The 15,188-nt window shown below is 53.8% G+C and overlaps 1 protein-coding gene across 1 annotated transcript in view, besides 5 other annotated features; it reads right to left on the bottom strand.

Annotated features, from left to right (window-relative positions):
* NKD1 (NKD inhibitor of Wnt signaling pathway 1) overlaps positions 1 to 15,188 on the bottom strand; it is a 100,854-nt gene that overhangs the window by 19,901 nt on the left and 65,765 nt on the right. The window contains exons 5-6 of the mRNA NM_033119.5: positions 7,641 to 7,747; positions 3,769 to 3,864 (exon numbers count right to left, since the gene is read on the bottom strand). Of these exons, the coding sequence (NP_149110.1) occupies positions 3,769 to 3,864; positions 7,641 to 7,747 (203 nt within the window). The remainder of the gene's footprint in view (positions 1 to 3,768; positions 3,865 to 7,640; positions 7,748 to 15,188) is intronic.
* Positions 1,374 to 1,503: an enhancer, noted in NCBI's record as "active region_10819". NCBI's record gives its function as "activates an Ori minimal core promoter by ATAC-STARR-seq in GM12878 lymphoblastoid cells {active_cell/tissue: GM12878}" and the evidence as "EXISTENCE:reporter gene assay evidence [ECO:0000049][PMID:35858748]".
* Positions 3,204 to 3,967: an enhancer, noted in NCBI's record as "H3K4me1 hESC enhancer chr16:50659293-50660056 (GRCh37/hg19 assembly coordinates)". NCBI's record gives its function as "activates a minimal SCP1, AML or CMV promoter by ChIP-STARR-seq in primed H9 embryonic stem cells {active_cell/tissue: H9 hESC(primed)}" and the evidence as "EXISTENCE:reporter gene assay evidence [ECO:0000049][PMID:30033119]".
* Positions 3,968 to 4,733: an enhancer, noted in NCBI's record as "H3K4me1 hESC enhancer chr16:50658527-50659292 (GRCh37/hg19 assembly coordinates)". NCBI's record gives its function as "activates a minimal SCP1, AML or CMV promoter by ChIP-STARR-seq in primed H9 embryonic stem cells {active_cell/tissue: H9 hESC(primed)}" and the evidence as "EXISTENCE:reporter gene assay evidence [ECO:0000049][PMID:30033119]".
* Positions 7,922 to 8,429: an enhancer, noted in NCBI's record as "H3K4me1 hESC enhancer chr16:50654831-50655338 (GRCh37/hg19 assembly coordinates)". NCBI's record gives its function as "activates a minimal SCP1, AML or CMV promoter by ChIP-STARR-seq in naive H9 embryonic stem cells {active_cell/tissue: H9 hESC(naive)}" and the evidence as "EXISTENCE:reporter gene assay evidence [ECO:0000049][PMID:30033119]".
* Positions 8,480 to 9,030: an enhancer, noted in NCBI's record as "H3K27ac-H3K4me1 hESC enhancer chr16:50654230-50654780 (GRCh37/hg19 assembly coordinates)". NCBI's record gives its function as "activates a minimal SCP1, AML or CMV promoter by ChIP-STARR-seq in naive H9 embryonic stem cells {active_cell/tissue: H9 hESC(naive)}" and the evidence as "EXISTENCE:reporter gene assay evidence [ECO:0000049][PMID:30033119]".

Genomic DNA, 15,188 nt, shown 5'->3' with positions numbered 1-15,188 from the left:
TGTATTCGGAGTAAGGAGATAACTAAGGTTAAACGAGGTCATGAAGGCGGGACCATGATAGGATCAGGGCCCTTAGAAGAAGAGGAGAGCTAGGGATATGGCTCACACCTGGAATCCCAGCACTTTGGGAGGCCAAAGTGGGAGGATCACTTCAGCCCAGAAGTTCAAGACCAGCCTGGGCAACATAACATTCTCTACAAAAATAAAAAATAAAAAATAGCCATGTGTGGTGGTGCACACCTGTAGTCCCAGCTACTTGGAAGGCTGAGGTGGGAGGATCATTTGAGCCTAGGAGTTTGAGGCTGCAGTGAGCCGTGAGCACACCACTGCACTCCAGCCTGGGCAACAGTGCAAGATCCCATCTCTTGTTTAAAATAAAAAAAAAAAAAAAAGGAAGAGACACTAGAAGAGGTCTCTCCACCACATGAGGGCACAGTGAGAAGGTGGCCGTCTGCAAGCCAGGAAGCGAGCCCTCACCAGGAACTGAAGCAGGTGTCCCCTTGGTCTTGGACTTCCAGCCTCCAGAACCGTGAGGAATAAATTTCTGCTAAGCCACCCAGTCTGTAGTATTTTATTACGGCAGCTTGAGCTGGCTGAGACTGTCCCTAAAAGATAAAACTAATTTGTGAGAACTTGACCAAATCTCATCTCCTCTCCGAGCCTCAGGTACCCCTCAACCAGAACAGGGGTGTCCATACAATGTCTTCCAGGTGTCTCAAACCCTTCTGATTGGGACTGGAGGGCACCGATTCTCCTCACTAGGCCCTTTCTATCTGGGTATCTGCTGTGGTCACTTGTCTGGTGTTGGGGTGCAGGGCAATGTCCTGCTTTAAATGGCATTGGAAACCTCTGGAGAAGACATTTTTTCTCTATGAAGCAACCCCATCCATGGTCAGTTACCTGCCCAGCAATCCTTCACCTCCTGCCTGTAAGTCCCACAGGCTGAAGCAGCTGAGGCAACCCCAGCGCAGCCCCAGCCAGGCAGGCATGTGGGTGAGTGGTCCAGAGTAATGGGGGCCGACAGAGGCGCTGACCCTGTCCTGGGAGGCACGGCCGCTCAGCTCAGTTGACTTGTCCTTTGACAATGCAGGTGGGAGGGGGTCACACAGAAAAGCCAGAAATCCAGGATCTTCTGTTAAATCTTCAAAATTGCTGATCTTGGCAACTGATTTTTAACAAAACCCTTTGCGGGACCAGACCAGAACATCTGGGGGCCAGATTGAAATTGTGGGGGCCATAAGTTTGAGACCCAGGCTCCAGGCACTCCCTAGCTGCCTTGCTCATCTCGGGGAGGGATCCCACTTCTTTCGACGAGGCCCGCAGAGGACTCTCCTTGTGCCTCCTTTTCTTCCCTCTGGCTTCTCCATAAGGCCCCATTTGCTCACTCTCTCTATCTTGGGCAGCCCATGAAGGAGGTTTCATTATACAGATGAGGCAGCTGATGGCCGCTCACTTCATCCCCCAAACTTCTGATACCTTAGAGGACCTGGAGCCCTGGTGTGTGATCAGGATGGGGGTGGTCCCAGCAGACCGAGGGTCTCAGAGCCTATGTGCTTTGGCAATTCTAGCTTGAAAATCAACCTCACTGACTACACAGGGCAGACACGTAGGAATCGGTGTGCTCAGTATTTCCTGCATGAACGAACGCCTGAAGGGGGAGCAGGTCTTCTTTCTGATTGGAAAGCTGGCCCACACCCCAGCTCTGGGCTGCAGATGCCGTGAGGTGGGAGCCCATCTGCCCTGGCACTCAGAAGGCGTGGAAGGGAACTGTATTTACAGCCAAATTTGAGGGGTGGCGTCAGGGCTAAAAATAGACCAGGGAAACACCAGACCAGTCCTCCCTCCACTCAAAACCACTCCCTGGCTCCTCGGTGGGAGGAAGACATGACCCAGTGAACACTTTCTCCAGGGCCGGGCTGGGCCACCTTCCTTGGAAACCCTCTCTCCCTTCCTCTCATTATCAAAGCAGTGAAGGACAACGCAGGTTGAAACTGTCAGCAATCATCTTGCTACTGCCAAGGGGAGAGTCTGCCTCACAAGAAGGGAAATAGAGCTGAGGAATAGAGGAAATAGACTGAGGAAACAGAGCAGTGATGAACACCTTGTCCTGAAGCCACTGAGCCTCTGGGTCAAGCCATCCCCAAAGTCAGACCCCGGACCAAATTTCAGTTACATGAGCCAATCTATTTCTTTTTTTTTTCGAATACAGCAGTTGGAGCATGTATTCTGTCACTTACATGTCAGAGTCCTGGGTGCTTAAAAGTCACAACTTCCTCCTCCAACCTGTTGAAACAGCCCGAAAACCACAGCCTGAGGAGGAGGTGACCTTGTTAACCCAGAATTCACATATGGCAGCATAAAGGTGAACTTCTCCTGCCCTATCCACAGAGAAGAAAACACTCGTCCTGACCCAGGATGAGGAGACCAGTCAGCAAAGCTTTAGTGTCTCTCTGGGAACATGAGGCCCCCACATGCTGGACAAGAAGCAAGTGGAGCCCAGACGTGCTAACCTGCGACCGCCGCGCAGGTGCATGTAACCTCAGATCTATAACAGGTCTCGTGCCTGAAGATGGGGTCCTCTCGGGGAGGGACAGGTCATCAGAGAGGGACAGGGGAGGAAAAGGAATGAGGAAGTGTAAGGAAGGATACCAACCCTCCAGCGGTGCCCTCAGGACCTGAAATCAAATCCAGGTTGCCTGCCAGGGCCTCCAAGGCCCCAGAAGTCTGGCCCTGCTGGATCCCCAGCCACATCTGTGTCTCTTCTGCTGATTGGCCACCACGGCCACCTCCTTCAGTTCCTTAAACACCCTGAGCCCCTGGCGTCTGCCTGCCCAGGACTCCCCCAAGGCTGTGCATGCTGCATGTCTCAGCTCCCTTGCCGCCTCCTTCAGGAGGCCTCCCCTGGACCCTCCAGGAGGCCTCCCCTGGACCTTCCAGCCAGTCTCTGTCCCAGCACCTGTTTATTTCCTTCACTGAACACATCACCGCTCACAGTTATCCTACAATTGTTTGGATCTGCCTCTTGTCAGAAGGTCAAAGCTCCAGGGCGAGGAACGTGTCTGTTTTGTTCCCTGCTGTGTCCTCATGCCTAGTACCTAGCACCCAACAGATGCATACAGTTGGTGCTCAATATGCAAAGACACAGGCAGGAAGGAGAGAGCTGCAGGAGGAGGGCCCTGAGCGAGAGAGACCGGCCTGCAGAGGGATAAGGAAGAAGAGGTTTGGGACGAGGCTGTGACCAGAGCTGTGACTGCAGAGCCACTGGCAGGGCCCTTAGCACTGGAGGTGCTCATTCCTGTAGCCTCAAAACAAGGCGCTGTGTGGCCTCTTTGTGCCCCCACCCCCAAGCTCCTGGGCAGCATGGCTGAGCAAGGGAGGTGGCCTGTGGTGGTGCCAGCCCCACCCCTAGAGCTCTGGGACTGTGGAGAGAGGGAAGCAGGACAGGACTCGGTTAGGGCCTTGGGGCCATCTCCAGAGAGGCCCTAGGGCTCTGCACCTGCCCCCCCCAACTTCTTTCCCGGGAGGGACAGTGCCTGGGCTGAGAGCAGGGGAGCTGCCTTCCCTCCCTGTCTTCTCTTCCCACTTGCCAGCAGCTCTGGGATGCCCCTCCAGATCTCGCAGGAGCTCCCAGCAACTCCCTGGCTGTTACGGCCTTCCCTGAGGGGCAGGACCGATGCAGGGGAGAGAAGTGGCAGTGGCAGGGTGCTGTGCCCAGGCCCTGTGCCTGCGGGTATGATACACGGCAAGAGGCCAGGCAGGTGCACTCACCTCTCGGGTGACCTTGCCGTTGTTGTCAAAGTCATACAGGGTGAAGGTCCACTCCTGCCGGCTGTCCTCCTCCATGGACACGTCGCACTGGAGCTCCTGGATGCAGAGAGATGGGCGGGGCTGGTCCCCTATCTGTGGCAACACTGACTGGGTAGTGGAAGCCTGGGCCTAGAGGCCAGGCCAAGGGGCGGCCACCTGTCCTCTGCCCTCCCCAGACCTTGAGTGGACAGGGAGCACTTTGGCCAAGACAGAACTGGCCCAGGAGGGCAGCCAGAGCCCGGGCAGGGGAGGTTTGGCCTGGGGAGGGATGCCTGCAGGGGTGCCTGGTGGTCTGTGGGTCTTCAAAGACAAAGGAAACACAGGGGGTTCTGAGAAGAGGCACTGTGGCCTCAGAAAAGCTGAACTTGGACCAAGGGCAAGAAGCAACTAGAAGGCAAAGGAGCGGCAATTTGGGAGCCCCAGGAGGATGCCAGGGTAGGACAGCATGAGCATGAGGGGTTCGGGTGTCGGTCAGCCCCGGGATCCAGCCCCTGCAGGCCCCTCCACAGCTGTGTGACCCTGGGCATGTCACTGCCCTCTGCTGTGCCTCAGTTTCTCTTTGTATACATTATGGAAAATGACAGCCTCTCTCCCACGAGGTTGCTGGGAAGATTAAATGCCCCACCCACATGCCCTCAGCCCAGCTGTTTCCCTGCAGCTGTGGTGGGGACAGTTCCCGACCTCCCACCTCATGTACACTTTTCTGTCTCAGGGCAGCCCTGAAGAGCCTGGGAAGGAATGCCCAGAGGCAACGGAACAAGGGAGGGACAGGAGGCAGTGGAAACGCCAGGCCTCCTCACCCCTCCCTGGGACAAATCTGAGCGCATGCTACATGGCTCCTAGGAGGCTCTCCAGCAGGCAGAGCCCACAGATGAACCCAGCCTTCACTGGCTTTCCTCCTTCCTCGCACCTGCGCCCCAGGATCGCCTCCCCTACACACTGCCTGCTCCCAGTGCCATGTGGTCAGGTCTGCTTATGGGAATTGGAAACAGGAAGTGGAGGGTAAATGCTGGTGTCCTTTACACCCATGCTTGGAGCACTGTCTGGCACATGGAAAAGCTCAATCAATGGTAGTAGCTGTTATTTTTGCTGTAATGATTAACAGTCATTGAAATAATTATTTCAATCAATAATCAATGAAACAATCATTTCATTATTATCATTTTCAGCAACCTGAAGTGTCTGACCCCAGGGAATGTGAGACGCGAAGTGGTGAGCTGGTCACCGGAGGGCTGTGTGCAGAGGCTGGCTGAGTGTCAGATAGACAGTTCTAGGAAGCATGCTGTTCAGCAGGAAAGGGCTCCACAAATGGCCTTTCAGATCCATAAGATTCTATGGAAACAAGACCATTCTGTTCCATGGCATGCCAAACTCCACCTCTCCTTCCACCATCAGGAAGGTGGCACCTGGCTGGCCTGGCAGGAGGAAGGCTCAGCTCCCCAGAGAGGGAAAGGCACCTGCCTACAAATGCTAGTGGAGTGAGCCCCAGCACGGCGTCCTGACCCTGGCTGCTGCAGCTCTAAGCCATTTCCCTCCAGCAATTCTCGGGCGCCCACGCTGAGTTCAAAGCCAACCTTGCTTCAGCCACACCCGTTTGATAACTGCCAAGGGCCCTCATTGCTCTCTGAGGCACTGTTCATGTGGCATGACACACGTGCCTACATACATACCCCTACACACACACACACACGCATACCCCTACACACGTACCTACACACACGCATACCTACACAGGTATACCCCTATACGTGCACATCCTACGCTCACATACCTGTGTACACACACACACACACACACACACACACACACACACACAGCACTTACCTGTTTCCAAGACAGCTTGGGTCTGAGCTTCAGAAACATGAGTTGAGTAACTGGCCACTTGTCCCACCTGTCACATGCGGGTCTCCTAGGCCTCTCCCACACCCCACCTGGGCTTCTCAGCTCAGTTGAGTCCTGCCCATGGACCACAGCTCAGTCCCAAGTCTGCCCCTCCAGAAGCAAGCGCACTTGGGCTTCCAGGGAGGCAGGATGCCTGGGCCTGGTCTTCCTTCTGCCACTGAGTTCAGCCCTGGGCTTTGCCAAGCTCCCCAAAAGACCCTACAAGGACCCAGGTGGGCTTAGGGCGGGGCTGGGCTCCAGGAAGAAGCTGGCAGCCCTAACTCCTACTAGATACTACCTATCCTCCTCAGGCGAGCCTTCAAGCCTCTTGGAGGCTGGAGTGCTCCTGTGCTGTGTGGGGAGAACAAGCTGTGTGGTGTGGCCTGTGCAGGATGGTGGGGCATGGCAGGGAGATGACACTGGAAAGGGGGTAAGATCGGTCACCAGAGACCCTGCACACAGGGCGTCTCCCCCATGTCCCACCATCCAGCACAGGCCACATCACGCCACTCACTCTCTCCACACAGCACGCCGGCACTTCAGCCTCCAGGCCTTTGCTCCTGCAGCTCCCTCTGCCTGATAGGCCCTTCTCACCCCAAAGGCTCCCCTGTGCACCCCTCTCCCAACTCCTACCCCTATGCTCAGAGCCTCACCCACCTCCCCAGTCTCTATCCACAGCCGCTGTTCCCTCCTCCAGGCACCGCACAGAGCCTGGAAATGCCAAGTGTCCGTTACCCCACACCCCTCGGCCTGACCCCACTCCAGGCTCCCAGATCTCATCTCATCACTGACTGTGCAGCCACTGGGTTTGGGGCGCTCAACTGTCCCCTGGTCACACTGTGCACTCCTTGACGGCAGGAACCACACCCAGTCTAAGCTGGGTACCCTGGCAATTAGCCGGTGCCAATCAGCATTGGTGAGAAAGAGGGGCACCCTCTTAAGCACTTTAGACCTTTAGGCGCACGAACTCATGCTGCTGACAACAGCCCAATGCGACAGACATCACCATTATCCCCACCTTACAGGCGAGGCACGTGAGGCCACTGAGACTTTAGGGAACTTGCCCCAAAGTCTCAGAGCTACTAAGTGTATAGCCAGGATTTGAACCCAGGCCTGCTGACTCTAGAGCTATGCCCTGGTGGTCTCAGGAAGGCAAACAGAGGGAAGGAGGGAGGGAGCAAGGAGGGCAGAGCAGTGGGGAAGCTCCATGCAGCAGGCCTGGGCCTGGCTCTCAGCACTGGCCACTGTGCTGGGGGCACAGGAGCGTGCTACACTATCAGGCGGTGGGGAACAGACTGTGCAGCCACTGGGTCTGGGGCACTCAACTGTCCCCTTCTCACCCCAAAGGCCCTTCTTTTCCCAAAGACTCCCTTGTACATCCCTCTCCCAACTCCTACCCCTACGCTCAGAGCCTCACCAACCTCTGCCCACAGCTGCTACTCCCTCCTCTAAGCACTGCACAGAGCCACACGGAGGCACATCCTTGGTGGTGCCCACATGGGGAAACTCAGGCCCAGAGAGCGTCAGGGTCCTGCCCGTACCTCCTGTTCATCCATCCCACCTGAGATCCCCCACAGGCACCCCCAGAACAGCCTCAAGAGTTGGAAGGGAAGGTTTCACCGAGGAAACTGAGGCCCAGAGAGGTGACAGCAACAGAAGGGCCAGAGTCCTGCCTCCCTCGTCTACTCTCATGCCCTCTCCCAAGCTGCTGGGCACAGCCCGCATGGAGGGGCTGGGGCTGGGCTGAGGGGGTGGGCAGCGGTGAGTCCCTGGGGTCTGCCCTGAGCCAGGACGGCCCCAGATGTGGCAGAAGGAACCTCCCACAGAGGGTGCTGTTCATGCAGGGGAGGGGCCTTCCTGTCTGGAAGAGCCTCAGCTTCCCTCCTCCCAAAGCCCCAAGCTGAGAAAACCCATCTCATCTCCTCAGGACCCAGCACCAAAAGGAAACTTACTTCAAACTTCAGCTGCTTCTTGGAGCCTGGGCAGGGTTCGCTCACTCTCTCCATCTTCTTCTCATCTCCGCTGCCCAGCCCGTCAGTCTTCTCAGGAGGCAGGGCCACTGTCGGGGAGGCAGGCGAGGGAGCATTAGGAGCAGGGTCCAGACGCCGGGCAGCCATGCTCACTGCACCTTTGTCCTCCATGCCTGGCCTGGACATTCTCGCCAGGGGGCTGGGCCCGCTCCTGCCCTGCCCATTTGCTGGGGTCAACATCACACTACTCTGGCACCTGGTACTGCCTGGGAAGACCTTCCCCCAACATGGTGCACCCACTTGCACCGTGGGGGGCCCCCTCAGGCCCCCACCAGCCTATGACTTCTGCCCTATGGAGGCACACAGCCACCCAGAGCAGTGTCAGGCCAGAGGGCAGATGGATGAGAGTGGAGGGGTGCTTCTGGAGCCCAGCGAGGGAGCTTAGGGACCATGGCCATTTTCTGCAGTCTCACTGCCTTCTGTGTTGACATTTTGGCCTCCTCAAAGGTGCCACCCACCTGAGCACAGCCTACGGCACCTTGGTGGATGGCCAGGAGGAGTGCCAGAAACAGAGTTCAACTGGGTTGGCAAAGAAGTGCACACATGCACCGTCCACATACATGTATGCACAAGCGCACATGGACACACATACACACGCACATGCAGACATATGTACACTCATGCATCACACCTGCTTGCACACATATGCACACTCACACATGCACACACACTCACACATACACAAAAGGCATCTTCAGGGAGCACGCTCATCCTGAACCTTGCATTTGGCCTCTGCTCACCCCAGGTCCTCCCCTCTCTGCCAAAGGTCACGGTCCTGTGTGTGGCCTGCCAGGAAATGTGGGAGGGTGAGTGTGAAATCCCAGGACCTACTGACACTATTTTCCTGAGGATGCCAGCTCCGGGTAGCATCATTGTCCTTGACCTAGGATCCCGACTACAAAGTGCCATCAATTCTTGGAATGTCCCATAAGCCTCCTTTAGTCCCTTCCGCCATTTTGTCTCTGTCAGATAGAGGGGCTGGGGTTTGCCGGAGACATCTTTTCCAGGCCACACTCACAGCTCCTCTCATCTGATTCCTTCTGTTGCCCTGGGGTAGTAAATTTGTTGTCCTGTTTTAAAGGTGAAGAAACAGCCTGGCTCCTACTCCGGGAAGGGACCCTGGCCCCTCCACCCTGACCCAAGGGTGGCCAGGGGGTCATGTGAGGTGCTGAGACTCCCCAGTCAGAGAGGAAGGCAAGGCAGGACTTTCTTGGGAAGTCAGCAGCCTGGAGAAATGAGGCCGCTGGGCCAGGAAACTAGATGGGGGATTTGTGTCTCTCCGATCCCACACTCCCACCACACTCACACACCCCAGCTTTGCAAGCAAGGACCCAAGGGCAGTCCCTGGGCCAGGCACAGTGGAGATGCCCCCAGTGGGCCTGGGCCCCAGCTCTCCTGCTCTGCTCTGGTCCTGCGAACTGGGAGCTCTCTCCTCTGCAATTAACTAAGGCACTTCCCCTGGTGTCCTTGCGCCTTGGCGCCACTGTACATAAAGATGAGGCAGCAATGACTAAGCACTTGCTGTTTACCAAGTCCATCCTCATGAAGCCCTGTGAGGCAGTTATTACGATTACCTCCATTTTCCAGATGGGGAAACTGAGGCTTGGAGAGGATAAGTGCCTCGCTAGTAAATGACAGAACTGGGATTTGAACCCAGGTAGCCTGAATAATGCTCACAGTCAGTCCACTAGGCTGCCCCTCCATGCCTTTCATGGCTCAATTCGGGAGACTTGGTGCTTCTCTCAGCCTGCCTCTCTCTCTCTCATGGAGGCCAGCCAGCCAGGGCAGTGGTCATCTCCACGTGGGTTCTGTTCTCTGGCACTGTGTGACCCTGGGTGGATCACATACCTTCTCTAGATGTCTCAGTTTCCCCAACCGTAAAATGAGGAAGCTACCAACCCCTTCCCCAGAGGATTCTTATGTGGATCCAACAAACTCTGATCATAAGGGGCTAAGACCCCCAGTGCACTAGGTCTGGCCATAAGTAGTAACAGTCAGGAGACTGATGGCCCCACCCCACTGACTCCTGGGAACAGCTCAGTTAGCAGCTAAGTTTTCTCAAAACTGAGGCTTCACGAATGCAAATGGACACAAAAGCATTATATTAAATACATACAGCCTGTGCGGGCAGCTTTGGACAAGGCCCTTGACTCCTCTGGACCTCAGTCCCCTTGTCTGTAAAATGGGAATATGATGGCCTCACTTTCACAGGGCTGTTGGGAAAGGGCAATGAGGAAAGTGCTTACTGAGCACAGTGGCCGGCACGCAGTAAGTGCTCAACAAATGCTGGCTTTGCCAAGGATGTGTGCCAGCTGACAGCCCAGATCCCAACGATCCTGCTTGACCCCAAACTGCCCCACCGGAGAAACCAGAGTAATATCACGGCCTGCAGCATCCTCTACTCACCCCTCCCAAGCAGAGGGAAAGAAGAGAAAGAAAAAGAAGAAAGAAAAACAAAGCCCAGCTCCATCTTCAAAGCTGCTGCCTCTCTCTGCAGAGGTCCTGGCTGGAGATGCAAGCTGGCCAGGCTTGTCGAAACCAAACTTCAAGTTCAAAGGGAAGTTATCAGAAAACCACCTTCAGGTTCAATGTTGCCTTTCATGTTCCACTTGATAAAATCCAAAGAAAAGGAACCTCTGTCCCTGCTCTCTCCTCCTCTGGAGCACTCTTCCTCCACCGTGCACGGACAGCCTGTCTTCCCTCAGGACCTCCCCTTTCCTTCCTTTCTCCTCACCTGAAGGGGCTGGAAAACATCCCCCTCGACCCCTCATATGTCTTCCCCAAAGACCAGTGTGGCCCGGATTGTCCTCTCTTCACCAGTGGCTCCCTCATCCCATCCCAGCTCAGAAAGCCACACGGACATCCACAGGTCAGCCGACGGTCAGTGAACCCGCCAGGGGCCCCTCCCAGCATGGGGCCTGTGATCCATCCTGCCCTGGGGCTGTGGGGGTCAGGAACAAGGACAGTCAGCACTCTCTATCCCCACCAAAGAAGGTCGTTCACCCTCTTATTGTCCCCTAACCAGTAGCTAGAAGAGGTGGCAGAGAACTGGCCATGCAGACCCCAATGCCAGGGGCAGGCGCCAGGCCTCATCCACATATGAGCCCTCTGAAACTAAACTAAGTCAAGCCACCACAGCCCCCAGCCAGCCCTGTGCAGAAGAAACCACCCTCCACCCATCAGTGAGTGCAGGCCCACTGGAGGCGGGAGAGGCGGACTGGTGCTCGCTGCAGGCCACCCAGGCCACACCAAGGGGGATTGCAATGATGATAGTTGAGATCAGCTTTGGCACCAGAGTCTGAGTCCATTCTCTGCCTCTGATTCCTGTTTAGCCCAGCCATTTTTCCGCTTGAGAAATTATCTTTTGGGGGCCTAATTTCAGGGGGTGCTGATCATACTGATCACTCTTCAATTGAAAGTCTGAGGAACTATAGGAGACACTGCTCATTTGGAAGAAAAAAGGAAAGCAGGAGACCGGGTGGGGAAAAAAGGCCTTTCACTTGCCTAAGAAGCACTTTTGGGTGACTTAGAGCAGGAGGTGGCAAACTACACTTGCTGAGCCAAACCTGGCCCACCTCCTGTTTTTGTAAATAAAGTTTTATTGGGACACAGCCATGCTCATCTGCATTGTCCATGGCTTCTTTCACTCTGTGACAGCAGAGTTGAACTGTTGCAACAGAGCCCACAAAGTCTAAAATACATACTATCCGGCCCTTCATGAAAAAGTCTGTGGATTGATTGCTGCTTTAGATGTGTGCCACCCTCTACTTCCACCAGGATATGTGCTTGATGAGCAGGGCACAGACAGTTTCACCTATTACTTGCCTGCTTGGCTGGAAATCCTTGTGCAGTACACAACCTGCCCAACCATACAGTGGCTGTGGAAGAAAGAAAATGTCAACTCTGCTTTCTTAAGGCCTATTGTCAGCCCATATGAATCTGGGGGGTTGGTAATGGTTTGTGGAGTTCCCTCTCTTTGGAAACTGCTCCCTGTCCCTCCTCACACCACAGCCACGAGGAGTCAGCTTGCTGTGTTTACCAAATGACGGTTCTCTCCCCATTAGCTCCCAGCCTGGCAGCTCTCCACCCTCAGCAACTGCCAGATTAAAGGCATTACTTGACCATCTTCACCCGGCTCCCTTTGATGTTCCCTTCTCAAGCTTCAAAATACCTTTTGGAGGGAGATCAGACAGCATTAAACAGAATTACTAATTAATTAAGCAAAGTTAAATTTTAAACACTGTTTGTTGTGTTAGCCAAAAGCCTGAACAGACTTTTTTCCTCCGCTGAGATCAAAGACAGTCTCTTCCCTCTCCCCTCCCCCAGTTTAAAAAAGGGAGGGGTGGGGAGGAAGAGAGAGCGAAAGAAGAAGAGTGAGGAAATACCTGAATGGTGACAACTTTGACTGTGGGTCTAGACACCCCTCCCGCCTCCCCATGGGCCCAATGGGAGGCTCCTTGGGGACCGCATGCTGTGAGAGCCACAGTCACTCGGGACTGTTTACCCTGGCAAATGGCAGTGACCCAGGGAGCAGGATGGCACAGCCCACCCAGCCCAAGCTGCTGACAGCTGGCGCCACCCAAACAGCAAGAGAAGAAGGCCTGTGAAATAAAACAGACCTGTCCTCCTCAACAGTACAACAGGGTGAGCTCCTCGGGGCTCTTCCCCTTGGTCTGGGGTCACTTGAGGTCACTAGGAGACCGGATCCAAGAAGCAGGCTGTGCACTGTACAACCCCAGGTGGTGCCACTCATATGACCAATACCCTAGATATGTGTATTGCTTATGACATCCTTTGGACAGATGGCAGAAAGGTGTCTTGAGGAGGGGCAGCTTTTTTCTAATTTGCATGAATGCATCCGGAGCTAGTGGGGTGCTGTCTCCCGCCATTCAGTCTAGCACTTTATTCTGTACAGTCCTATCTGGGACCTTCTGATTGCTTCACAGGAGCCTCCACATCTGCACAGCCAGAAAGCAAGTTTCTTGAGATCTGGCGCCTTCTAGGCTTCTGCTCCCGGGTTGCCCAATGCCTAGCACTTCCCATACGTGCACAGGGCAGAGATTCCGCCAGGCCTGCTGAACTACAGCACATTCTACAGGTAGGCATAAGGAAGCTTGGCTACATAACAAATATGCCATACCTTCTGCCTTGATGGAGACTGGGAAGTGCCATGGGGAGGTGGGGAGTTGAAATTTACATAAAAATCCAAACCTGGGATGATACCAGTAAATGCCAGCTTATCTTAACACAATCCAGAAAGGCCTGGTGCATATGAAACTTGGAAAGAAGAGACAAATTTGAAACACAGTTATGACTAAATCAGCCCCACTAAAGACCAGAAATTACTAACAATTCAATTGCATGGCAGACCCCTCTCTTAGCCTAGTTACCTGGCAAGTTCTTCTCAGTGAATACAATGTAAGATTTAACACAAGCCAGAACTTCCTTGCTAGAGTCTGGATGCTCGCCCTGACATATCCACAGTCCTTTCTCAATCGTCCACGTACAGATTATCTGCTGCAAATATTTTAGTCTCAGGGTTGCTTGCCAAGATGTTTGAGTCCACAACCTTCTGACAGCAGCTGTTCGAGGGAATGCAGATGAATTTTAATATTAGCCTCTGCCAAATATAATTAGGCGGGTAAATCTGCTGCCAGTAAAAAGAGAAAGATATCATATGTGCATTCCAGGCCAAATGGTTTCTTGCAGTATCTGTATCAGGCTCTCCTTAGGGAATGAGGGTCCTAGCGATCCCACCTCTGTTTGTAAACACAGCCACATACTGTGGTGGGCTGCATGGAGAGGCTGGTGAAGTTAGTAGTACCACACATTATTCCATTAAGTCCTCTTAACACTGTGCAGGGTGTGCTACTGTTGGCATCGTACAAAAGAGGAAACTGAGCTTAAAAACCAAAACTGATTATGCCGTTTCCCTGCTTAAACCCCTCCAGTGGCCCCCTTTCCCCTAAGGAGGGGTCCAAAGGCTTCCACGACCCGGCTGCTGCCACCTCTCAGTCCCGTCTCTCTGTGGAACTGCTTTCCCTTTTCTGAGCCTGCCATGCTCTCACGCTGTTATCCCTGCCAAGAACACTCTTTCCAGCTCTGCAATTCCCACTCATCCTTCAGGTCTTCAGTTTAAGCCTCCCTTCCTCTGAGCAGCATGCTGTCACACCCTCAGGGCTAGGTTAGGCTTCCCTGCTCAGTGAGCCTTATTACACCATCATTATATCACTCATTTAATCATCAGAATCTTCCATCAGCCCAATATCTATACCCTGAGATATATATGTCTATAGTGCAGTGTCTATCACACTATAGGTGCTGCATCATCAGCAGCATCATCAAAATGAAACAACGGTAAGTAGCAGAACCAGGATTTGAACCCAGAAGTTGTGGAACAAAGAGAACTAAATCCCAGTTTCCCAACTCCTCAACCACTGGCCTGTCCACTCTCTCAGACCACAATAGCTGACACCTGTTCCTGCCTGTCCAGCAATCCTTCTCCTCCTTCTGATGATAGCATCTGGCTTTCCTCCCCAGAGCTACTCATCCCCCACTCTCAGTCTATCTAGTTTATGGAGACTGATCCCACTCCAGGGTCACACTGCACTCAGTACCCCTACCTGACCCAGCTTGTTTCATCCTGAAGGCCACGTGGCTGGTCCTAGGTCAGTATGAAAGAAGAGTTTATGAAGAAGCTAATGAAGCTAGGCTTCTGGGCCCTCTCACCTACACGGGCCCTTTCCAAGTCAGGATGGGTCTTTGCAAGGTGTTTATGTGGTCATATGTGTTTGTATTTGTAACATTTTCCAAATTAGGCATTTTATCCTCAATCTATTAAGATTGTCATCTAACCATTCTGACATCCTTTGCCTGTGTGAGGTGATACTAGGGGAAATACAGGCATTTCTGGACATGAGCTAAGGAGAGACTGAGTTGGTGAGATATTTATTTTGGTTTGGCCCCAGAAAGCTTCAGGTCCCATAAAACCTAGATCTACCCTGGTCAAGTGACCAGTAAAGTGGTCAATAAAGTGAGTCCAACATGTGCAAGAACCCCTGTGACCTGGGAACTTTCTTCCACCTGACAGGGCTGTGCTCATAGGATGGGAGTGCCCAGAGCTGGGAACTGCCACCCTTGCCCCCTGTGGGGGAGAAGCCACCAGGGGACAGAGGGAGAGATGATGGAGAGGGAGAGAGAGGGGCAGCGAGCGAGACATGTGTGTGAATGTGTGAGTATACGTGTGTGTGTGAGTGTGTGTGTGTGCGTGCATGTGTCCATGACATGGTTTTAGCTCCAGAATCCAAACAGGCCTTTTTAGGCAAGATCTACCCTAGGATTTTTCAATTTCATGAGCCAAAAGTTTAAGTGAGTTTCCAAAAGAACCGAAAGAATCCTGACTTAACAAATCCGTCTCTCTGAGATCCTGCTTTTTAGGAAAAACCACCAGCACCAGCACCACAGCAGTAA

Source organism: Homo sapiens, chromosome 16, assembly GCF_000001405.40.
Source record: "Homo sapiens chromosome 16, GRCh38.p14 Primary Assembly".
Taxonomy (NCBI): domain Eukaryota; kingdom Metazoa; phylum Chordata; class Mammalia; order Primates; family Hominidae; genus Homo; species Homo sapiens.
Note: the sequence above shows the minus strand (reverse complement) of the source record. Positions and strands in the feature narration are given on the sequence as shown.